The 24,947-nt window shown below is 49.8% G+C and overlaps 1 pseudogene, besides 2 other annotated features; it reads right to left on the bottom strand.

Moving 5' to 3' along the window:
- On the bottom strand, positions 349 to 24,947 carry CYP4F26P (cytochrome P450 family 4 subfamily F member 26, pseudogene; annotated as a pseudogene).
- Positions 4,688 to 5,628: an enhancer, noted in NCBI's record as "H3K27ac-H3K4me1 hESC enhancer chr9:33600012-33600952 (GRCh37/hg19 assembly coordinates)". NCBI's record gives its function as "activates a minimal SCP1, AML or CMV promoter by ChIP-STARR-seq in naive H9 embryonic stem cells {active_cell/tissue: H9 hESC(naive)}" and the evidence as "EXISTENCE:reporter gene assay evidence [ECO:0000049][PMID:30033119]".
- Positions 18,422 to 19,039: an enhancer, noted in NCBI's record as "H3K4me1 hESC enhancer chr9:33586601-33587218 (GRCh37/hg19 assembly coordinates)". NCBI's record gives its function as "activates a minimal SCP1, AML or CMV promoter by ChIP-STARR-seq in naive H9 embryonic stem cells {active_cell/tissue: H9 hESC(naive)}" and the evidence as "EXISTENCE:reporter gene assay evidence [ECO:0000049][PMID:30033119]".

The following is a 24,947-nucleotide window of genomic DNA, read 5'->3' as shown; positions in this document are numbered from 1 at the left end:
AATTCCCAGGAGCCCACCTTGGGGTCTCCTAGAAAAAGCATGTGGGCTGCTCACCAGCTGCATATCCACCTTTCCTTTCCTGCACTCTCAGGAAGATGAGAGTTCTGGATTCAGCTGAACTGAGTTCAAGTTCAGACTCTGTGACTCACTGGCTGTGTAATTCTGGGTAAGTTACTTGCTCTCCTTGAGTCCCGTATCCTCCATGGTGAAATGGAGAAGTGGAGTTATTGTAAGGATTTGAAGGCAAGGCAAGAGTTAAAGACACACACACACACACACAGACACACAGACACACACACACACACACACACACACACACACACACACACACACACAGAGATTGGCCGCTTCAACAGCAACACAGGTTTATTACTAGCAAAACCCTGCGGAGGGGGAAACCAGCTTAGTGTCAGCGCCCACTGCCACTTACAGGCTGGGGTAATCATGGGGCTGGGAGGGAGGGCTCTGGACAGTATAGCTTGCTGCTCAGTAGAAGATGATAAGGATGTTCCTGAAGTCAGGCTGTTGGGCCCTTGCCCAGCAGGATGTGATAAGGATGTTTCTGCAGTCAGGTGGTTAGGATGTTTCTCACAGCCCGAGTTCCCATGGAATGTTTTACTCTGACCAGGATCTGCAAAACATCAAGGGGTTTACCAAATAGTGCAGCTTAGACTAACAGTAACCTCTCCCAGGTAGACAGTTCTTCAACAGTAAACTTCCCTTGAGCATCTACACTGTACCAGACATGGTGCTAGGACCCAGGCCACAGGAGGAACAAGACAGATGAGGCCCCTGCCATCCTGGTGCTCATGTCTGATGAAGGAAGCTAACAGGTCATAAGACTAGGTCAGATGGTGGTGGTAATGAAAGACATTACCAGAGTGAGATGAGCTAGAAAGAAACTGAGGGAGCTGTTCCAAACACAGTCACAGGGAGAGACCCCTCCAAGAGGTGACCTGTGAGCAGCAACCTGAGAGATGTGGGGTGGGGGGAGGCATGGAAAAGGAGCTGCCCCTGAAGCCATCCCAGGAGTAAAGACCCAGCACGAGGTGGGCAACAGAATGGCCTGACCTGTGCATCCTTCATGCTTCCTTCCTCAGTGGTGCCCAAACAGAAACATGGGGCAATTCCATGCAGGGTCCATAGAGGGAGCAGAAAGCAGCTGCAATGAAGAACCACGGTGGGGATGAAATCTGGCCCAAAAGTGAAGCTAGAAGCAGGTGCTGCTTATCACTCACCACAACACAGGTCATAAAGCATAACCAGCACCTGAAGGCACGTCCAGGGCCAGACCAGCTGGCTGGGCTGCCAGCATCCTAGTAGAGATCCCAGGAGATCAGATAAGCTGGTTGAAGGTGGGGGAGAAAAGGAAAGCTTCAGAAAATTCCATAGGACCCATGACACTTAGCATGAACTTCCCCTGAGTGGGATCTGTTTGACATTGCTGGTTCTAAAGAGTTGGTCCCACCACCCCCACCTGCCCGGTGCCCGACCAGGGGAAAACCTGGGGTAAGGTCCACAGAAACAATCCCTGTGGAACGGGAAAGGGTGTTCTCATCCAAAACCAAGGGAGGAATCCCACAAAACACCACTCATATGGAGCAGAGGGGCCTGCAGGGAGAAACAGGATTCTGCTGCTCATTGGGGAATCTGCTTTTCAGCAGGAAAGGGGAACATGCAGGATACAGAAGCAAAGTGGACCCTGAGCTGTGGGGTTAGGGGAGCTGGTGCTGACACTGTCAGGGATAAGCCACAATAGGAGGCTTAAAACCCCTTACTTAGAACACACTAACTCAGAGGGCACCTGAGTGTAACCTGAGATGGTCCCTGAAGACTTTTCATCCAAGCAGGATCCCTCCCTTGCCATCTCCAGACCTGCCCCACAAGCTCCCTCCCTGGTCTCCTGGCTCTTGTTCACTCCTTCCAGGAAGACTTCCACAGTCATTTCTAAAACGTGGCTGACTGACCCTCCTTTATCCAGAACCTTCCATGGCTCCCCAGAGCCCTCCAGATCAAGTTCAAGTTCTTTGATCAGACACCTGATCTCAAGCTGTATTCTGCCTCCTGAATTAAGATACCAGAGATGCCCACCTTGCTCAGCACAAGTGCATCAATGAAGTCCAAAGTCTTGAATGTGGCCCTGGCCTTGAGGATGTCAACACTCTGGCTAGTGAGGGTGCAGTGCTGCTCCAGGATGATGGTGTCTAAAGTTGTGCACCAGGTCATAGGCCCTGCAGAAACATCTCCCCTCAGGAGTGAGGTAGTACAGGAAGTCCATGCACAGGCAGATCTGCTGGTGCCATTACACTATGAGGGCATGGAGCTCCAAGATGGTGGCAACATAGTCACTAGAATTCCTACAGGGTAAGGCTGGGGAGAGGAAGTAACTGCATAACACATATGATACCCTGGAAGCACTTCCCAGCCAGTCTCAGGACCACATTACATCCAGATACAGGTGCCCTCTGAGCACACTTCTCTGCCTCCCACTCTGAGCTGCCTCCTGGCCCCACATGGGCAGCCTGGCCCAGGGCTTGGAGCCCAGCAGGTGTTCAGTCCATGGTGTTGACTGCTCCCTGGGCCAGGAGAGCCCTTGGTGACTCTGTGACTCCTCCTGTGGAACCTCTGACTCTGCCTTGGGACCTCCCAATTCCCATGGAAAGCCCCCATGGCTCTGGATTGCCCCACGTTGCCTGGGATCATCCAGCCCCGTAGGCCTAACTTGATGCCTTAGCCCTCCCAGAACATGACATGTTTCTCAGAATGTGGCTGATGTCCAGGGCCATCTGTGGATGTTTGCTGGGGGCCTCTTGCTGTTCTCCTTTATGGTCTGTAGGGCAGGGCAAGGCCAAAAGAAGAAACCAATCCAACCTCAGAATGGACAAAATGCTCACTGCCACAAACGGCAACCACCTACAGTCAGCAGTGCTTCTGGATGGAAAAGAGGTTTCATTCTGCAAAACGCTCCTTGTTGGCTTCTTTCTGAAGCCAGGGAAGGGTACCAAGCCCAGCTTACCTGCAGTGCCTACATTAGCATCTGTGCCTAGGATGTGCGATGGGCCCCTGCTCCCACTGCAGGGTTGACGTTCCCTCCAGCTGGAGACCTGGGCTCCTGACACCACCTGGCCTGTTTGTCCTGCTCTGGATGAGGGTGGAAAGGCTGTATCTGGCATTTTCCTAGGTCCTTAGTTTCCATCTTCTAGACATCCAGCAGGAGTGACCATGCCCAGCCCCACACCTGAAATGGGACTCCCTTGTAGAGCCGCTGAGACATCTACAGACAGAAGAGTGCTCTGGTGAGACAGGCCACAGGGGTCCCCAGGGAGGGTTGGGGGCCAGCAGATTCTGAAGGTTTCCAGTCTTGGGCTCTGTGGTTCCTCAAAGAGGTTAGGTTTACCTAAAACCAGGCCTCTCCTCCAACGATTGAAAGAGTGGATGAGTGCTCTGCATCAGGAACTCTGATCTGGACCTATTTTTTCATGTAGGTCACCAAGAGACAACCCCTAACCTCTGAGCTAGGGATGGTCCAAGCTCTGGCATGAGATTTTCTTCTAGCAACGTGATGCTTACAGGGACAGGTAGAAAAGCTGGTGATCAGGCCTGCTGTCCTCCGGGTAAGGACAGTGTGCTACCCACCCTCTGAGAGGCCAGTGGTGCCAGGCCACAACACTGGGTGCCTGTACCCCTGGCTCTGCAGACACCGGTCATGGAGGCCCTCCCCTCTTCACATCACATTCTTGCTGCTCCTATATTTCTTCTAGTCATTAAACAATTTGGGCCATTTTTCTGTGCATCCAATCTGACTTTTTTTTTATTTTTTATTGATCATTCTTGGGTGTTTCTCGCAGAGGGGGATTTGGCAGGGTCATAGGACAATAGTGGAGGGAAGGTCAGCAGATAAACAAGTGAACAAAGGTCTCTGGTTTTCCTAGGCAGAGGACCCTGCGGCCTTCCGCAGTGTTTGTGTCCCTGGGTACTTAAGAGTAGGGAGTGGTGATGACTCTTAATGAGCATGCTGCCTTCAAGCATCTGTTTAACAAAGCACATCTTGCACCGCCCTTAATCCATTTAACCCTGAGTGGACACAGCACATGTTTCAGAGAGCTCAGGGTTGGGGGTAAGGTCATAGATCAACAGGATCCCAAGGCAGAAGAATTTTTCTTAGTACAGAACAAAATGAAAAGTCTCCCATGTCTACTTCTTTCTACACAGACACAGCAACCATCCGATTTCTCAATCTTTTCCACACCTTTCCCCCTTTTCTATTCCACAAAACCGCCATTGTCATCATGGCCCGTTCTCAATGAGCTGTTGGGTACACCTCCCAGACGGGGTGGTGGCCGGGCAGAGGGGCTCCTCACTTCCCAGTAGGGGCGGCCGGGCAGAGGCGCCCCTCACCTCCCGGACGGGGCGGCTGGCCGGGCGGGGGGCTGGCCCCCCACTCCCTCCCGGATGGGGCGGCTGGCCTGCCGGGGGCTGACTCCCACCTCCCTCTCGGACGGGGTGGCTGCCGGGCGGAGGGGCTCCTCACTTCCCAGACGAGGTGGCTGCCAGGCGGTGACGCTCCTCACTTCTCAGACGGGGCGGCTGCCAGGCCGAGGGTCTCCTCACTTCTCAGACGGGGCGGCCGGGCAGAGACGCTCCTCACCTCCCGGATGGGGTCACGGCCGGGCAGAGGCGCTCCTCACATCCCAGACGGGGCGGTGGGGCAGAGGTGCTCCCCACATCTCAGACGATGGGCGGCCGGGCAGAGACGCTCCTCACTTCCTAGATGGGATGGCGGCCGGGTAGAGGCACTCCTCACTTCCTAGATGGGATGGCGGCCGGGCAGAGATGCTCCTCACTTTCCAGACTGGGCAGCCAGGCAGAGGGGCTCCTCACATCCCAGACGATGGGCGGCCAGGCAGAGACGCTCCTCACTTCCCAGATGGGGTGGCGGCCGGGCAGAGGCTGCAATCTCAGCACTTTGGGAGGCCAAGGCAGGCGGCTGGGAGGTGGAGGTTGTAGCGAGCCGAGATCACGCCACTGCACTCCAGCCTGGGCACCATTGAGCACTGAGTGAACGAGACTCCGTCTGCAATCCCAGCACCTTGGGAGGCCGAGGCTGGTGGATCACTCGCGGTTAGGAGCTGGAGACCAGCCCGGCCAACACAGCGAAACCCCGTCTCCACCAAAAAAATAGGAAAACCAGTCAGGCGTGGCGGCGCGCGCCTGCAATCGCAGGCACTCGGCAGGCTGAGGCAGGAGAATCAGGCAGGGAGGTTGCAGTGAGCCGAGATGGCGGCAGTACAGTCCAGCTTTGGCTCGGCATCAGAGGGAGACCGTGGAAAGAGAGGGAGAGGGAGACCATGGGGAGAGGGAGAGGGAGAGGGAGAGGGAGGAGAGGGAGAGGGAGAGGGAGAGGGAGAGGGAGAGGGAGAGGGGGGGCGATCTGACATTTTTGCTCTCAGATGAAACATGATAAAGGAAGCCAAGCTGCCAGGATTCCTGGAGGGGACCTTGGGTGCTGGGTCTTGGGCTCCAGGGCCCTAATGGGACTGAACCAGAAGGAGCCAGGGAAGGGCAAACACTGGGACTGAGGCCCTAGGACCCAATGGCCATTGGTGGCCAGACCTTATGGCCCCAACATACCCTGTCCTCAGGCCACAGACATCATGGGCTTCAGTCAGGTCCCAGCCTCCCAGTAGTGTCCTGGTACTAGCAGGTGCTGACCCCTGAGCCACGACCATAGTTCTGGGTTTTGGGTTTTGGTAAAACCACCTCAGGGACAGAGTTCTGGGGTTGGGTTTGGCAGGAACCATGGTGCCTCCCAGGGATGGTGTGTCACTCCTACTTGCCACAAAATGTGCACAAAGGCTGTCCCACTGTCCAGCCCATCCTGCTGGACAGGATGGAGGAAGTCAGGGAACAGGTAGGGTGGACATCTGGGGTGCAGGGAGAGGCAGGTGCATGCTGGGAGGTCAGACCCTGTGAGGGCTGTGGGGGCATCAGTTGGAGTGGGCTCCAGGTGCAACCTCAATGCACTAGGCAGGTCTCAGGCCAGGCTCCCTGGACCCCGGCTGGGTGATGTGGTCACTCCCTGGGGGACTGCTGTCAGGCCCTGGCCACCCACCCTGGGGAGCACTGTCCCATCTCAGGACTGGACTTTCTGAGTCCTGAGACAGGACAATACTGTCTAGGCCTGACAGACTGGGAGGACCTGTTAAGTCCTCCATCCCTAGACCAGCCTCCCACACAGCAAGGACAGTCTCTTAGCTCTACCTTCAGGGCACTGACTGATCCTGCTCACTCTAAGGCAACCAAGGCAGAGCTGAGGACCTGTGCCAGGCTGGGAGCCAGTCCCCTCCCTAAATGGGCCTGAGGGAAGCACCATCCCTGTCCCAAACCGCTGCAAGTTTCAGCCCAGGAGACACATAGGGAAGGGAGGACGGAGCCCCTCTGCTGGCTGACACTGGAAAAGCGGGACCCGGGAGAAGAGGGAGCGCAGGGCTGGCAGGGGACACTCCAGGCCAATGGATAGCTCCGGCTGCACCATGGGGCTGCCCCTCCTGGGCTGGAGGCTGTGCCCTCTGCAGTATCTGAGAAAGTCCATTCCTGAGATGGGACAGTGCTGCCCATGGTGGGTGCCCGGTGCCTGACAGCAGTCCCCCAGAGAGTGACCACATCACCCTGCTGGGGTCCAGGGAGCCTGGGCTGAGACCTGCCCAGTGCACTGAGGGTGCACCTGGAGCCCACCCCACCTGACGCCCCCACAGCCCTCACAGGGTCTGACCTCCCAGCATGCACCTGCCTCTCCCTGCACCCCTGCTGCCCACCTTGCCTGTTCTCTGGCTTCCTCATCCTGTGCAGCCCATAGACTGTGACCATCTATCCGGCCACTCTGGCCCTTCCTTTACCTTTGTCCTGTCAGAATCTCTGAGCAAGATCTCCCAGGTCCATCCAAACACCTGCTTTGTCCAGTTTTGACTGGGCCTTTGGGCACTACTGGGCCATCCTGACTGTCCACAGCGCCCTCGATAACGTGCATTGCACCTGACATCTCCCAGCAGTGCTCAGCAGCCCCCGCTGACCAGGTCCCTGCTGACCATATCCCGCACATCAGGTCCTTCCTGACCACACCCTCACTGATTAGAACCCCATGACCAGACCCCACTAACCAGGCCCTTGCTGCTAGGCCCACAGTGTCCAGGACCCCACTGACCAGGACCTTACTGACCAGGGCCTCACTGACCAGGTCCTTACTGACTAGGCCTCACTGACCAGGTTCCACTGATCGTGACCCCAATGCCTGGCACCACAGATGAGGCCCCACTGACCAGGCCTCCAGGGAACAGGCTGCCACTGATCAGGCCCCTATTAACCAGGCCGTAGGGGACCAGATGCCCCTGACTGTGACCCTAGTGAGTAGGCCCCACTGAATAGGCACCCACTGCTCAGATCCCTGCTGACCAGGTCACCCCACAGACCAGAGCTACAAGAGCCACCACAGAATGTGCTCTCTCTGAACAGGCCCCCACTGATTAGGTTCCACTGACCAGGCTGCGCTGACCAGGGCCCCACTGACAAGGGCCTCACTGGTGAGGACATGGCCAGCAGGCCCTGCTGACTGGGTCCCATGTGACCAGGCCTCCACTGAATAGCACCCCTTGAGCTGGTCACCAGTGACCCAGCCCATGCTGACAAGGCCACCACTAAGCCCCAGCTGACCAGGTCTCCATTGACAAAGTCCTGCAGCCTAGTTTTTACACTGACCAGACACCAAACAAGTGGCTGCCACTAGGTCCCCACTCACCAAGACCCCACTACTAGGTCCCCCTAATGAGACCCTCTCTAAGTAGACCCCTGCTGACCACGCCCCCAATAAATAGGCCTCACTGACCAAGTCCCAGCTGACTAGGTCCACTGATGAGGCCCACACTGATCAGGGCCCTCATAACCATACCAGAAGGCCAAGCGACAATGAGATATTTCATATGGCAGAAGTAGGAGCAAGACAGAGAGAGAAAGGAGGTGCCACATCCTGTTATACAACCAGATCTCATAAGAACTCACTATCAGGAGATCAGCATCAAGAAGATTAACCATTGGTGAAGGAACCACCACCCACACCACCGCCCACTGTTTGCAGGCAGAAGCCTCCTGCAGAGGCAGAGACTCTTGGGAAACTTCTACCATGGCGGTGCAGAAGGGAAATATGGGCTTGGAGCCCCCACACAGGAGGTCACCATCCTCCAGACCCCAGATTCATAAGCCCACCAACAGTTCACACCCTCAGTATGGAAAAGCTATACGCACTCCACACCAGCCTAGCCCATGAGAGAAGACATGGGGGCTGAAGCCTGCAACGCTGCAGGTGCACTGCCCTAGCAGAGGTTTCCCATGAGCCTCTGCCTCTGAAGCAGACTACTCCCCCTTCCTACTACCCACCACCCTCCCACCACCCTACTGCCAACCTACTTCCCACACTACCCACCCCTTTTCCTTCCAACCCCAACCTCCTCCTGCCATGATTAAATCACCTCCCACCAGGCCCCACCTCCAACATTAAGGAGTACATTCCACAGGAGTTTTGGAAAAGAAACACAGCCAAACCATATTATTCTGACCCTGATACCCCAGAATCTCATGTCCTTCTCACAGAGCAAAATACATTCATGCCTTGTCAAAAGTTTCCAAAAGTCTTAACTCATTCCAGCATTAACTCAAATGTAAAAACTTCAACATCTCATCTGAGACAAGTCTACAGTCCCTTTCACCTATGAGTCCCTGAATTTAAAAGGATGTTCTTTTCTTTCAGGGTACAATGATGGTACAGGCATTGGGTAAGCTTTCTCAATTGAAAGGGAAGAAATTTCCCAGGAAAAAACCACAAATAGAACCACACGCCCAATGCAAGTCCAAAACCCAGGAGGCCAGTATCCATTCAATCTCACAGCTCCAAAATCACGAAGAGAACTCACTAGCATAAGCACAGCAATAAGGAGATGGTGTTTAATCATTTGTGAAGGATCCACCCCCCCACCACCACTTTTCACCCCTCACCCCCACCATAATCCCCTCATTCTCCCTACCCCCCACCTTCCAACCCTCACTCTCCACCATGATTAAATCACCCTCCACCAGGCCCCACCTTTAACTTTATTATTCTGTCCCTGGCTCCCAAATCTCATGTCCTTCTCACATTGCAAAATATAATGATGCCTTCCCTACAGTCCCCCAAATCTTGTATCATTCCAGCATTTATACAAATGTCCAAAGCTTAAAGTCTCATCTGACACAAGGCTACAGTCCCTTAGGTACAAGAGCCTCTGAACTATAAAGCAAGTTAACTACTTCCAAGGTACAATGCTTCTGCAGGCAATGGGTAAGCATTCTCAACTGAAAGGAAGAATTTTGCCAGAAAGAACAAAACACATACAGGTCTTACAGGCCCCATGAAACTCCAAACCCAGAAGGCCAGTCATTCAATCCTACAGTTCCAAAATCACCCTTTTTGAAACGTTGTCCCACATCCAGGGCACAGGGACATGAGGGCTGGGCTCTGAAGGCCTTGGGCAGCCCTGCACCTGTGGCTTTGCAGGGTTTATGCCCCACAGCTGCCCCCATGGGCTGGGCGGGTGTGGAGTGCCTATAGCTTTTCCTGACTGATGGTACAAGCTGTTGGTGGGTCTATGAATCTGGGGTCTGCATGATGGTGGCCTCCAGTGTGGGGGCTCCAACGCCATATTTTCCTTCTGCACTGCCCTAGTAGAGGTTTCTTATGAGGCTCTGCATTTTTGGGATGCTTTTATCTGGTCACCTAGGCATTTCCATACATCTTCCAAAGTCTACAGAGAGGCTCCCAAGCCTCTAGTCTCATGATCCATCCACCTAGTGGCTTAACACTATGAGGAAATTACCAAGGCTTCTAGCTTGCACCCTCTGAAGCAGTGACCCAAGCTGCATCTGTGCATTTTCAGCCATGGCTGGAGCTGGAGCTGCAGGGACGCAGGCAGCAGTGCCCTGAGGCTGCACATAGAGCGGAGCCACAGGACTGGCCCAAGAAACCATTCTTCTCTCCTAGGTCCCAGGGCCTGTGACAGCAAGGGCTGCTGCAAAGGTCTCCAAAATGCCGTCAAGGGCTTTTCCCTATTGTCTTGGCTATTAGCACTGGGCTCCTTTTCATGCAAGTTTCTGAAGCCTTCCTGAATTTTTCCCCTGAAATTCAGCTTTTCTTTTTGACCACTTGGCCAGGCTGCAAATTTTCCAAACTTTTGAGTCCTGTTTCTCATTTAATGTAAGAGTTGGGACTCATTTAATATAAGTCCCATCCAGAGGTCATTTTCGCAGTCACACATCACAGCACAGGCTGTTCGATGCAGACAAGACACCTCTTGAGCTTTGCTTCCTAGAAGTTCATTCCACCAGATATGCACTAAGTCATCACCTTCAAGTTTAAAGTTTCACAGATCTCCAGGGCAGGGTCACCATGCAGCCATGTTCTTTGCTACAGCAAAACAAAAGTAACCTTGGCTTCTGTTCCCAGTAAGTTCCTCATTATTATCTGAGACCTTCCAAGTCTGGTTTTCACTGACCATTTTCCTGTTAGCCTTCTGATCACAAGTAGTTAACAATTCTTTACAAAGATCCAAACTTTTCCTCATTTTCCTGTCTTCGAAGCCCTCCAAACTCTCCTGGTCTCTGTCTGTCACCCCCTTCTGAAACTGCTTCTACATTATCAGCTATCTTTGTCGCAGCCTGGCAATGTGGTAAAGGAAGACAAGTCCATTTTCAGGGAGAAAATTCAAGAAGGTCTCAGATACTTGAATGAAAAGAAGCAGAGTGCTGATTGCCAAGACAATAGGGAAAAGGTCTTGAAGACATCCACTTCCCAGTACTAATTTTCTCTATGATCATAAAGAACCTCATGATTCTGCAGGCTGTAAGGAAACATACTGGCTTCTGAATCTGGGAGGACTCAGGAAGCCTCCCAATCGTACCAGAATGTCAAGGGGCAATGGGATGATTCACGTGGCAGGAGTAGGAGCAAGACAGAGAGAGGAAAGAGGTGCCATGCCCTATTATACAAGCGGATCTCATGAGAACTCACAAGGTCAGCATCAAAAAGATGGTGCTTAACCATTGGTGAAGGATTTGCCCCCCACCCCCAACTCCCACTGTTTCCAGGCAGAAGCCTGATGTAGAGGCAGATCCTCTTGGAAAACGTCTACTAGGGAAGTGTGGAAGGAAAATATGGGCTTGGAGCCCCCACGCAGATGGCCACCAACCTCCAGACCCCAGATTCATAGACCCACCAACAGCTCACACCCTCAGTGTGAAAAAGCTATGGGTAGTCAACACCGGCCCACCCCATGAGAGCAGCCACAGGGGCTAAACCCTGTAAAGTCACAGGTGCACTGTCCTAGTAGAGGTTTTCCATGAACCACTGCCTCTGCAGCAGGTTACTCCCCCTTCCTACTACCCACCACCCTCCCATCACCCTACAGCCAACCCATTCCTCCCCACCCTACCCACCCTTTCTCCTTCCACCCCCAACCCCCTCCCATCCATGATTAAATCCCCTCCCCTAGGCCCCACCTTCAGCATTTGGGATTATAATTCCACATGAGTTTCACAGGGACACACAGCCAAACCATATTATTCTGACCCTGATACCCCAGAATCTCATGTTTTTCTCACAGAGCAAAATACAATCATGCCTTGTCAAAATTTTCCAAAGTCTTAATTCATTCCAAATGTAAAAACTTCAAAGTCTCATCTGAGACAAGGCTACCTTCTCTTCTGCCTATGAGTCCCTGAATTCAAAAGGGATTTCTTTTCTTTCAAGGTGCAATGATGGTACAGGCATTGGGTAAGATTTCTCAATCCAAAGGGAATAAATTTCCCCGAAAAATAACACAAATGCAAGTCCAAGCCCAGGAGGACAGTATTCACTCAATCTTAAAGCTCCATAATCATCAAGAGAACTCACTATCATGCAGACAGCATTAAGGAGATAGTGTTTAACCATTTGTAAAGGATCCATCCCCATCCTCATCTTTCGACCCCACCCCCAAAATAATCTCCACCATTCTCCCCACACCCGTACCTCCAACACCCATGCTTCACCATGATTAAATCACCTTCCACCAGGTCCCAACTTTCATATTCCCCATTACAATTCCACGTGAGTATCGGTAGGGACACAGAACCAAATCATATTATTCTGACCCTAGTTCCCCCAAATCTCATATCTTTGACACACTGCAAAATACAATGATGCCTTCTCTACAGTCCCCCAAAATCTTAAGTCATTCCAGCCTTTACTGAATATCCAAAGCCCAAAGTCTTATCTGACACAAGGCTGCAGTCCCTTCTGCCTCTGAGCCTCTGAAATACAAAGTAAGTTAATTACTTTCAAGGTACCATGATTGTACAGGCATTGGGTATGAATTCCCAGCCAAAAGAAAAAACTTTGCCAGAAAGAAGCACAAAATACAGATGAGACTTACAGATCTGATGCAAGTCAAAAACCCAGCAGGCCAGTCATTCCATTGTACAGCTCCAATCATCACTTTTCAATCCAAATCCCACATCCAGAACACAGGGGTGTGATGGCTGGGCTCCCAAGGCCTTGGGTAGCTCTGCACCTGTGGCTTTGCAGGGTCTTTCCCCCACAGCTGCCCTCATGGGCTGGGCTAGTGTTGAGCACTTGTAGCTTTCCACACTGAGGGTGCAAGCTGTTGGTAGGTCTATGAATCTGGGTTTGCAGAATGGTGCCTCCATGTGTGGGGGTTCCAACTCTATATGTTCCTTCTGTAATGCCCTAGAAAAGCTTTCCCATGGAGGGTCTGCCTCTTGGAAAAGCTTCTGCCTGGAAACCCAGGTTTTTCTGTACATGCTCTGGGGTCTAGACGAAGGCTCCCAAGGCTCTCCTCTTTTGCTCTGTGCACCTGCTGGCTTAACACTATGTAGAAGCCACCAAGGCTTGCATCTTGTACCCCTGAAGCAGTGACCCAAGCTGTGCCTGTGCATCTTTCAGCCATGGCTGGAGCTGGAGCTGCAGGGATGCAGGCAGCAGTGTGCTGTGGCTGAGCACAGCAGTGGAGCCTTGCAGCTGGCCCAGGAGAACATTCTTCTCTCTCAGGCCTTAGGGCCTGTGACAGCAAGGGCTGCTGCAAAGGTCTCTGAAATGCCTTCAAGGCCTTTTTCCCATTGTCTTGGCTATTAGCACTGGACTCCATTTTATACAAATTTCTGAAGCTCTCTTAGATTTTCCCACGAAAATCAGGTTTTCTTTTTGACCACTTGGCCAGGCTGCAAATTTTCCAAACTTTTAAGTTCTGCTTCTCGTTTAAATATGTTTCTACTTGAGGTCATTTATTTGGTCACACCGAAGACCACAGGCTTTTGGACACAGACAGGATACCTCTTGAGCTTTGCTGCCAGAAGTTCACGCCTATGATTTAGATACACCCTATGATTTAGATATACCCGAAATCATCACCCTCAAGTTCAAAGTTTCATAGGTCTCCAGGTTAGGGGCATCATGCAGCGACGTTCTTTGCTAAGGCAAAACCAAAGTAACCTTGGCTCCTCTTTTCAGTAAATTCCTCATTTTCATCTGAGACCTTGTAAGCCTGGCCTTCACTGTCCATCCTTCTGTCACCCTTTTAATTATAACAATTTAATGAGTCTCTACAATGGTCAAAACTTCCCTTCATCTTCCTGACTTCTTCCAAGGCCTCCAAACTTTCCAACCTCTGGCTGTTACCCTATTGTGATCCTGCTTTTACATTTTCATCCATCCTTATTGCAGCCTATCAATGCGGTAAAAAGAAGAAATGTCCATTTTCAGGGGAAAAATTCACAAAGGGATCCGATATCTGCATGAAGAGAAGCTGAGTGCTGATTGCCAAGACAATAAGAAAAAGGCTTTGAAGGCATTTCATAGCTCCACTTCCAAGCACCAATTTTCTGTAAGATCATAAAGAAAAGAGGTTGAACTGGCTCATGGTTCTGCAGGCTTTAAAGGAATCATAGAGGCCTCTGCTTCTGGGAGGAATCAGGAAGCCTCCCAATCATACCAGAAGAACAAGTGGCAATGGGATGTTTCATATGGTAGAAGTAGGAGCAAGACAGAAGGAGGAAAGAGGTATCACACCCTGTTATACAACCAGATCTCATGACAACTCACTATGACAAAATCAGCATCAAGAAGATGATGCTTAATCATTGGTGAAAGATCTGTCCCCCCCAACTCCCCCACCCCACCACTGTTTCCAGGTAGAAGCCTGTTGCAGAGCCAGAGCCTCTTGGAAAACCTCTACTAGGGCAGTGCAGAAGGAAAATATGGGCTTGGAGCCCCCACACAGGAGGTTACCATCCTCCAGACCCCAGATTTATAGACCCACCAACAGCTTGCACCCTCAGTATGAAAAAGCTACAGGCACTCAACACCAGCCCAGCCCATGAGAGCCACCAAGGGACTAAACCCTGCAAAGCCACAGGTGCACCGCCCTAGTAGAGGTTTTCCATGAGGCTCTGCCTCTGCAGGAGGCTACTCCCACATCCTACTACCCACCACCCTCTCACAGTTTACTGCCAACCTACTCCTCCCCACCCTACCCACTTCTTTTTCCTTCTACCCGCAACCCCCTCCCATCCATGATTCAATCAGCTCCCACCAGGCCCCACCTCCAACATTCAGGAATACAATTTCCCATGATCTTTTGTAGGAAAACACCACCAAACCATATTACTCTGACCCTGACACCCCTGAATCTCATGTCCTTCTCACAGAGTAAAATACAAACAAGCCTTTTCAGAAGTTTCCAAAAGTCTTAACTCATTCCAGCAGTAACTCAAATGTAAAAAGATTAAAGTCTCATCCAACACGAGGCTGCAGTCCCTTCTGCTTCTGAGTCCCTGAATGTAAAAGGGAGTGCTTCTCTTTCATGACATAATGATGGTACAGGCATCGGGTAAGCTTTCTCAGTCCAATGGGAAGAAATTTTCCAGAAAAATAACACAACTGGGACACAGGTCCAATGCAAGCCCAAAAGCCAGGAGAGTATGTACGCATTCATCACGAGAACTCACTTTCACACAGACAGCATTAAGGAGATACTGTTTAACCATTTGTGAAAGATCTGCCCCCCCAGCCCCATCTTTCACCCCCACCCCCAGCATAAACCCCCCAAACTTACCACACCCTCACTTCCAATCCCTACTCTCCGCCATGATTAAATCACCATCTACCAAGCACCACTTTTAACATTCCCCATCACAATTCTACATGAGTTTTGGTTGGGGCACAGAGACAAATCCTATTGTTCTGCCCCTGGCCTTCCAAATCTCATGTTACTTTCACTTTGCAAAATACAGTGATGCCTTCTCTACAGTCCCCCAAAGTCTTAACTCATTCCAGCATTTACTCAAATGTCCAAAGCCCAAAGTCTCATCTGAGACAAGGCTGCAGTCCCTTCTATCCCTGAGCCTCTGAAATACAAAGCAAGTTAACTACTTTCAAGGTACAATGCTTGTCCAGCCATTGGGTAAGCATTCTCAGCCAAAAGGAAGAAATTTGCCGGAAAGAAGCACAAAACACAGATGGGACTTACAGACCCCACGCAAGTCAAAAACCCAGCAGGCCAATCATTCCATCATAGAGCTCCATGTCATATTTTTTGAATCTACATCCCACATCCAGAGCAGAGGGTGGTTTGATGGCTGGTCTCCCAAAGCCTTGGGCAGCTCAGCACCTGTGGTATGGCAAGGTCTTTCCCCAAAGCTGCCCTCATGGGCTGGGCTGCTGTTGAGTGCCAGCAGCTTTTTAACACTAAGGGTGCAAGCTGTTGGTGGGTCTATGAATCTGGGGTCTGGAAAATGGTGCCTCCCAGTGTGGGGGCTCCCACCATATATGTTCCTTCTATACCATCCTTGTAGAGGTTTACCATGAGGCTCTGTCTGTTGGAAAAGCTTCGCCTGGAAACCCAGGATTTTCCATACATACTCTGGAGTCTAGAAGATGAAGACTCCAAAGTTTCTAGTCTTGTGCTCTGTGCACCTGCTGACTTAACACTATGTGGAAGCCACCAAGGCTTGGAGCTTGCACCCCTGAAGCAGTGACCCAAGCTGTACCTGTGCATCTTTCAGCCATGGCTGCAGCAGGAGCTACAGGGATGTAGGCAGCAGTGTCCTGAGGCTACACACAGCAGGGGACCATGGGGCTGGGCCAGGAAACCATTCTGTCCTAGAAAACCATTCTTCTGTCCTAGGCTTCAGGGCCTGTACAGCAAGGGCTGCTGCAAAGGTCTCTGAAATGCCTTCAAGGCCTTTTCCCTGTTGTCTTGGCTATTAGCACTGGGCTCCATTTTATGCAAGCTTCTGAAGCTGTCTTGAATTTTCCCACTGAAAATCAGCTTTTCTTTTTGACCACTTGACCAGGCTGCAAATTTTTCAAACTTTTAAGCTCTGCTTCTCATTTAAATATGTTTCTAACTGAGGTCATTTATTTGGTCACACAGAAGACCAGGACACAGACAGGACACCTCTTGAGCTTTGCTGCCAAAAGTTCATTCTGCTGGATACACCCGAAACATCACCCTCAAGTTCAAAGTTTCACAGATCTCCAGGTTAGGGGCATCATGCAGTGACATTCTTTGCTAAAGCAAAACAAATGTAACCTTGGCTCCTGTTCCCAGTAAACTCGTCATTTTCATCTGAGACCTTCTAAGCCTGGCCTTTACTGTCCATCCTTCTGTCACCCTTTTAATTATAACTATTTAACAAGTCTCTACAATGGTCCAGACTTTCCCTCATCTTCCTGTCTTCTTCCAAGTCCTCCAAACTCTCCAACCTCTGGCTGTTACACAATTCTCAACCTGCTTCTACATTTTCAGCTCTCTTTGTTGCAGCCTGTCAGTGTGGTAAAAGAAGAAAAGTCCATTTACGGGGGGAAAATTCATGCAGGCTACAGATATTTGCATGAAAAGAAGCTGAGAGCTGATTACCAAGACAAGAAGGAAAAGACCTTGAAGGCATTTCATACCTCCACTTCAGAGCACTAATTTTCTGTAAGATCATAAAGAAAAGATGTTGAACTGGCTCATGGCTCTGCAGGCTTTAAAGGAATCATAGAGGCTCCTGCTCCTAGGAGGAATCAGGAAGCCTCCCAATCATACCAGAAGACCAAGCAGCAATGGGCTATTTTATATGGCAGAAGTAGGAGCAAGACAGAGAGAGGAGAAGGTTCCACACCGTTATACAATGAGATCTCATTGGAACTCAGTATCACAAGGTCAGCATCAAGAAGATGGTGTTTAACCATTGGTGAAAGATCCACCCCCTACCACCCCCCCACCCCCCACTGTTTCCAGGCAGAAGCCTGTTGCAGAGGCAGAGCCTCTTGCAAAACCTTACGAGGGCAGTGCAGAAGGAAAATATGGGCTTGGAGCCCCCATGCAGGAGGCCACCATCCTCCAGACCCCAGATTCATAGACCCACCAACACCTCACATTCTCAGTGTGGAAAAGCTACAGGCACACAAGAACAGGCCAGCCCATGAGAGCAGCCATGGGGCTAAATCCTGCAAAGCCACAGGTGCACTTCCTAGTAGAGGTTTTCCATGAGCCTCTGCCTCTGCAGGAGGCTACTCCCCCTTCCTACTACCCACCACCCTCCCACCACCCTACTGCCAGCCTACACCTCCCGACCCTACACACTTGTTTTTCCTTCCACCCCCACCAATCTCCCATTTATGGTTCAATCACCTCCCACCAGGCTGCACTTCCAACATTCGGGAGCACAATTCCCCATGAGTTTTTGTAGGTAAACACAGCCAAACCATTTTATTCTGACCCTGAGACCCCCTAATCTCATGTCCTTCTCACAGAGCAAAATACAAACGTGCCTTTTGAAAAGTTTCCAAAAGTCTTAACTCATTCCAGCAGTAACTCAAATGTAATAAGTTCAAGCTTCATCCAGGACAATGCTGCAGTCCCTTCTGCCTATGAGTCCCTGAAGGGAAATGGGCGTTCTTTTCTTTCAAGTTACTTTCAAGTTACAGTGATGGGTAAGCTTTCTCAATCCAAAGGGAAGATTTTCCCAGAAAAATAACACAATTGGGACACAGGCCCAATGCAAGCCCAGAAGCCAGCAGGAGAGTATTCATTTATCATGAGAACTCACTATCACACAGACAGGATTAAGGAGATAGTGTTTAACCATTTGTGAAGGATCTGCCCCTGTCTCCATGTTTCACGACCACCCCCACCATGAACCCCCATTCTTCTCACACCCACACTTCCAACTCCCACTGTCCACCATGAATAAATCACCTTCCACCAAGCCCCAGCTTTAACATTCCCCATTACAATTACACATGAGTTTTGGTAGAGGCACAGAGCCAAATCATATTATTCTGCCCCTGGCCCCCCAAATCTCATGTCCTTCTCACACTGCAAGATACAATGATGCCTTCTCTACAGCCCCACAAAGTCTTAACTCATCCCAGCATTTACTCAAATGTCCAAAGCCCAAAGTCTCATCTGAGACAAGGCTACAGTCCCTTCTATCCCTGAGCCTCTGAAATACAAAGCAAGTTAACTACTTCCAAGGTATAATGCTTGTCCAGGCATTGGGTAAGCATTCCCAGACAAAAAGAAGAAATTTGCCAGAAAGAAGTGCAAAACACAGATGGGACTTACAGACTCCATGCAAGTCAAAAACCTAGCAGGCCATTCATTCTATCCTACAGCTCCAAATAATCTTTTTTGAAACTACGTCTCACATCCAGACCACAGGGTGGTGAGATGGCTGGGCTCCCAAGGCTTTGGGCAGCTCAGCACCTGTGGCATGGCAGGGTCTTTCCCCAAAGCTGCCCTCAATGGCTGGGCTGCTGTTGAGTGCCAACAGCTTTTCAACACTAAGAGTGCAAGCTGTTGCTGGGTCTATGAATCTGGGGTCTGGAAAATGGCACCTCCCTGTATGGGGGCTCCAACCCTATATGCTTGTTCTGCAATGCCCGAGTAGAGGTTTACCATGAGGCTCTGCCTGTTGGAAAAGCTTCTGCCTGGACACCCAGGCTTTCCCATACATGTTCTGGAGTCTAGACAAAGGCTCCCAAGCCTCTAGTTTTGTGCTGTGTGCACCTGCTGGCTTAACACTATGTGGAAGCCACAAAGACTTGGAGCTTGCACCCCTGAAGCAGTGACCCAAGCTGTACCTGTGCATCTTTCAGCCATGGCTGGAGCTGGAGATGAAGGTGTAGGGGTGCAGGCAGCAGTGTCCTGAGGCTGCACATAGCAGTGGGGCCATAGGGCTGGCCCAGAAAAAACATTCTTTTTTCCTAAGCCCCAGGGCCAGTGACAACAAGGGCTGCTACAAAGGTCTTTGAAATGCCTTCGAGGCCTTTTTTCCCATTGTCTTGAATTATTAGCACTGGGCTCCTTTTTTATGCAAATATCCAAAGGCTTCTGGAATTTTCTCCCTGAAATTCAGCTTTTCTTTTTGACCACTTTGCCAGGTTGCAAATTTTCCAAAGGATTAAGCTCTGCTTCTCATTTAAATATAAGTTTCAACTCAAGGTCATTTCTTTGGTCACACATAATACCACAGGCTGTTCGACGTAGGCAGGACAACTCTTGAGCTTTGCTGCTTAGAAGTTCATTCCACCAGATAGACCCTAAATCTTCACCCTCAAGTTCAAAGTTTCCCAGATCTCCAGAGCAGGGACACTGTGCAGCCAAATTCTTTGCTAAGGCAAAACAACAAAACCTTGGCCCCTGTTCCCAGTAAGTTTCTCATTTTCATCTGAGACCTTCTAAGCCTGGCCTTCACTGTCCATCCTTCTGTCAGCCTTTTAATCACAACTAACAAGTCATTACAATGGTCCAAACTTTCCCTCATCTTCCTGTCTTCTTCCAAGCTCTCCAAACGCTCTAACCTCTGGCCATTACTGAATTCTGAACCTGCTTCTACATTTTCAGCTATCTTTGTCACAGCCTGGCAATGTGGTAAAAGAAGAAAAGTCCATTATCAGGGGAAAACTTCAAGAAGGCTTCAGATATTAGCATCAAAGAAGCCCAGTGCTAACAGCCAAAAGATTGGGGAAAAGGCCTTGAAGGCATTTCATAGCTTCACTTCACAGCATTGATTTTCTGCATGTACATAAAGAAAAGAGGTTGAATTGACTCACAGTTCTGGAGGCTGTAATGAAAGCATAGTGGTTTCTGCTTTTAGGAGGACTCAGGAAGCCTCCCATTTATACCAGAAGGCCAAGCAGCAATGAAATGTTTCATATTCCAGGAGTAGAAGCAAGACAGAGGAAAGATGCCACATCCTGTTATACAACCAGATCTCGAGAGAACTCAGTATCAGGAGATCAGCATCAAGAAGATGGTGCTTAACTATTGGTGAAGGATCCACCCAATACCCCACATCCACCCCCCAGTGTTTCCAAGCAGAAGTCTGAGGCAGAGGCAGAGCCTCTTGGAAAATCTCTACTAGGGCAGTGCAGAAGGAAAATATGGGTTTGGAGCCCCCACGCAGGATACCACCATCCTCCAGACCCTAGAGTCATAGACCCACCTAAAGCTCCCACCCTCAGTATGGAAAAGCTACAGGCACTCAACACCAGCCCAGTCCATGAGAGCAGCCATGGGGGCTAAAGCCTGCAAAGCCACAGGTGCACTGCCCTAGTAGAGGTTTTCCATGAGCCTCTGCCTCTGTAGCAGGCTACTCCCACTTCCTACTACCCACCACCCTCACACCACCCTACAGCCAACCTACTCCTCTGACCTTACCCACTTCTGTTTACTTCCAACTCCACCCCTCTCAAGTACAGGAATAAATCACCTCCCACCAGGCCATACCTGCAACATTTGGAATTACAATTTCCCATGTGTTTTGGTAGAGACACACAGCCAAACCATATTATTCTGACCCTGATCCCCCGAATATCATATCCTTCTCAGCGAGTAAAATACAATCTTGCCTTTTCAAAAGTTGCCAAAAGCCTTAACTCATTCCAGCATTAACACAAATGTAAAAGGTTCAACATCTCATCTGAGAAAAGTCTACAGTCCCTTTTGCCTATGAGTCCCTGAATTTAAAAGGGAGTTCTTTTTTTCAAGGTACGATGATGGTACAGGCATTGGGTAAATTTTCTCAATCCAAAGGCAAGATATTTGTCAGGAAAGTAACACAAATGGGATCACAGGCCCAGTACAAGTCCAAAACCAAGCAGGACAGTATCTATTCAATCTTACAGCTCCAGAATCATCACGAGAACTCACCATCATGAGGAAAGCATTAAGGAGACGGTGTTTAACCATTTGTGAGGGATCCTCCCCAACACCCACCTTTCACCCCTCACCCCCACCATAATCCCCCCATCCTCCCCAATCCCCACCTTCCAACCCCCACTGCCCTCCATGATTAAATCACCTTCCACCTGGCCCCACTTTTAGCATTTCCAATTACAATTCCAAATGAGTTTCTGTAGGGACACACAGCCAAATCTTATTGTGTCCCTGCCTCCCCCAATCTCATGTACTTCTCACTTTGCAAAATACAATGATGCCTTACCTACAATCCCACAAGGTCTTAACTCATTCCAGCATTTACTCAAATGTCCAAAGCCCAAAGTCTCATCTGAGACAAGGCAGTCTCTTCTGCCCCTGAGCCTCTGAAATACAAACAAGTTAACTACTTCCAAGGTACAATGATTGTCCAGGCATTAAGATTTCCCAGCCAAAAGGAAGATTTTTGCCTGAGAGAACAAAACACAAATGGGACTTACAGGCTCCATGAAAAGTCCAAAACCCAGCAGGCCAGTTATTCAAACCCACAGCTCAAAAGTCATCCTTTTTTAATCCTTGTCCCACATCCAGGGCACAAGGGCGTGAGGGCTGGGCTCCCAAGGCCTTGGGCAGCTCATCTGTGGCTTTGCAGTGTTCAGCCTGTGCAGCTGCCCTCATGGGCTGTGCTGGTGTTGAGTGCCTGGGGTTCTTAACCCATGGAGGGTGCAAAGCTCTTGGTGGGTCTATGAATCTGGGGTCTTCATGATGGTGGCCTCCAGTGTGGGGGCTCCAACCCCATATTTTCCTTCTGCACTGCCCTAGTAGAGGTTTCCCATGAGGCTCTGCCTTTTTGGCAGCCTTCTGTCTGGACACCCAAGCACTTTTATATATCTTCCAAAATATATATGGAGGATCTCAAGCCTCTGAACTAGTGCTCTGTGCACCCACTGGCTTAACACTGTGTGGAAGCCACCAAGGCTTATAGCTTGCACCTTCTGAAGCGGTGTCCCAAGCTGTACCTGTGCGTCTTTGAGACAAGGCTGGAGCTGGAGCTGCAGGGATGCAGGCAGCAGTATCCTGAGGCTGCACACAGCAGCAGAGCCATGGGGATGGCCCAGGAAACCATTCTTTCTCCTAGGTCCCAGGGCCTGTGACAGAAAGGGCTACTGCAAACATCTCTGAAATGCCTCCAAGGCTTTCTCCCCCATTGCGTTGGCTATTAGCACTGGCCTTCATTTCATGCAAATTTTTAAAGCCATCATGAATTTTCCCTCTGAAAATCAGCTTTTGTTTTGACCATTTGGCCAGGCTGCAAATGTTACAAACTTTTGAGCTCTGCTTGTCATTTAAATATAAGTTGCAACTTGAGGTCATTTCCTTGGTCACACATAAGGGCACAGGCTGTTTGACATAGAGAGGGCACGTCTTGAGATTTGCTGCCTAGATGTTCATTCCACCAGATATGCCCTGAATCATCAACCTCAAGTTTAAAGTTTCACACATCTCCAGGGCAAGGTCACCCTGCAGCCACGTTCTTTGTTACAGCAAAACAAAAGTAACCTTGGCTCCTGTTCCCAGTAAGTTCCTCATTTTCATCTGAGACCTCATAAGCCTGGCCTTCACTGTCCCTCCTTCTGTCAGCATTTTAATCACAAGTATTTAACAAGTCTCTACAATGGTCCAAACTTTCCTTCATCTTCCTGTCTTCTTCCAAGTCCTCCAAACTCTCCGACCTCTGGCTGTTAGCCACTTCTGAACCTGCTTTTATATTTTCAGCTATCTTTGTCACAACCTGGCAATGTAGAAGGAAAAAAAGTCCATTTTCAGGGGCAAACTTCAAGAAGGCTTCAGATATTTGCATTAAAAGGAAGACCAGTATTAATAGCCAATGTGATGGGGAAAAGTCATTGAAGACATTTAATAGCTTCAATTCGCATAGTAATTTTCTGTAAGATCATAACAAAAAGGGGTTTAATTGGCTTATAGTTCTGCAGTAGGCTGTAAAGAAAGCATAGTAACTTCTGTTTCTGGGAGGACTCAGGAGGCCTCTCAATTATACCAGAAGGACAAGCAGCAATAAAATGTTGCATATGGCCAGAGTAGGAGCAAGACAGAGAGAGGAAAGAGGTGTCACAGACTGTTATACAACCAGATCTCTTGAGAACTCAGTATCACAAGGTCAGCATCAAGAAGATGGTGCTTAATCATTGGTGAAAGATCCACCCCCCAACACACTTCCACCCCCCACTGTTTCCAGGCAGAAGCCTGCTGCAGAGGCAGAGCCTCTTGGAAAATATGGGCTTGGAAGGAAATATGCAGAAGGAAAATATGGGCTTGGAGCCCCTATGCAGGAGGCCACCATCCTCCAGACCCCAGATTCATAGACCCAACAACAGCTCATACTCTCAGTATGGAAAAGGTACAGGCACTAAACAACAGCCAAGCCCATGAGAGCAGCCACGGGGCTAAAGCCTGCAAAGCCACAGGTGCACTGTCCTAGTAGAGGTTTTCCATGAGCCTCTGCCTCTGCAGCAGGCTACTCCCCCTTCCTACTACCCACCACCCTATGGCCAGCCTATTCCTCCCCACCCTCCCCGCCCCTTTTTCCTTACACCCCCACCCTCCTCCCATCCAGGATTAAATCACCTCCCACCAGGCTTCACCTCCAAAATTCAGGATTACACTTCCACAGAGTTTTTCTAGGGAAACACAGCCAAACCATAGTATTCCGAACTTGACCCTTCCAAATCTCATGTCCTTCTCACAGGGTAAAATACAATCATGCCTTTTCAAAAGTTTCCAAAATCCTTAACTCATTCCAGCATTAACTCAAATATAAAAAGTTCAAAGTCTCATCCGAGACAAGGCTACAGTCTCTTATGCCTATGAGTCTCTGAAGTTAAAATGGAGTTCATTTCTTTAAAGGTACAATGATGACACAGGTATTGGGTAAGCTGTCTTAATCCAAGGGGAAGAAATTTCCCAGAAAAATAACACAAATGGGACCAGAGGCCCAATGCACATCCAAAACCCAGCAGAACAGTATTCATTCAATCTCACCACCACAAAATCATGAAGAGAACTATCACAAGGACAGTATTAAGGAGATTGTGTTTAACCATTTGTGAAGGATCTGCCCCCCACCCGCCTTTCACCCCCAACCCCACCACAATTTTCCCCATTTCGCCCCACCACCCCCACCTTCCAACCTCCACTCTCCACCACGATTAAATCACCTTCCACCTGTCCCCCACCTTTAACATTTCCCATTACAATTCCACATCAGTGGGACACAGAGCCAGATCATATTCTTCTGTCCCTGCCCCTGCAAATCTGTCTTTCTCACATTGCAAAATACAATGATGCCTCTCCTACAGTCCCCCAAATCTTAACTCATTCCAGCATTTACTCAGATGTGTAAAGCCCAAAGTTTCATCTGAGACAAGGATACAGTCCCTTCTGCCCATAAGTCTCTGAATTATAAAGCAAGTTAACTACTTCCAAGGTACAATGATTGTACAGGCAATGGGTAAGCACTCCCAGCCAACAGAAGAAAAATTGCCAGAAACAAAAACAAAACACCGATGGGACTCACAGGATACATGAATGTCCAAAACGCAGTAGGCCAGTCATTCAATCCTACAGCTCCAAAATCATCCTTTT

The sequence above is a fragment of the Homo sapiens genome, chromosome 9, assembly GCF_000001405.40.
Source record: "Homo sapiens chromosome 9, GRCh38.p14 Primary Assembly".
NCBI classification, from domain to species: domain Eukaryota; kingdom Metazoa; phylum Chordata; class Mammalia; order Primates; family Hominidae; genus Homo; species Homo sapiens.
This window is presented reverse-complemented; position numbering and strand designations above follow the sequence as displayed.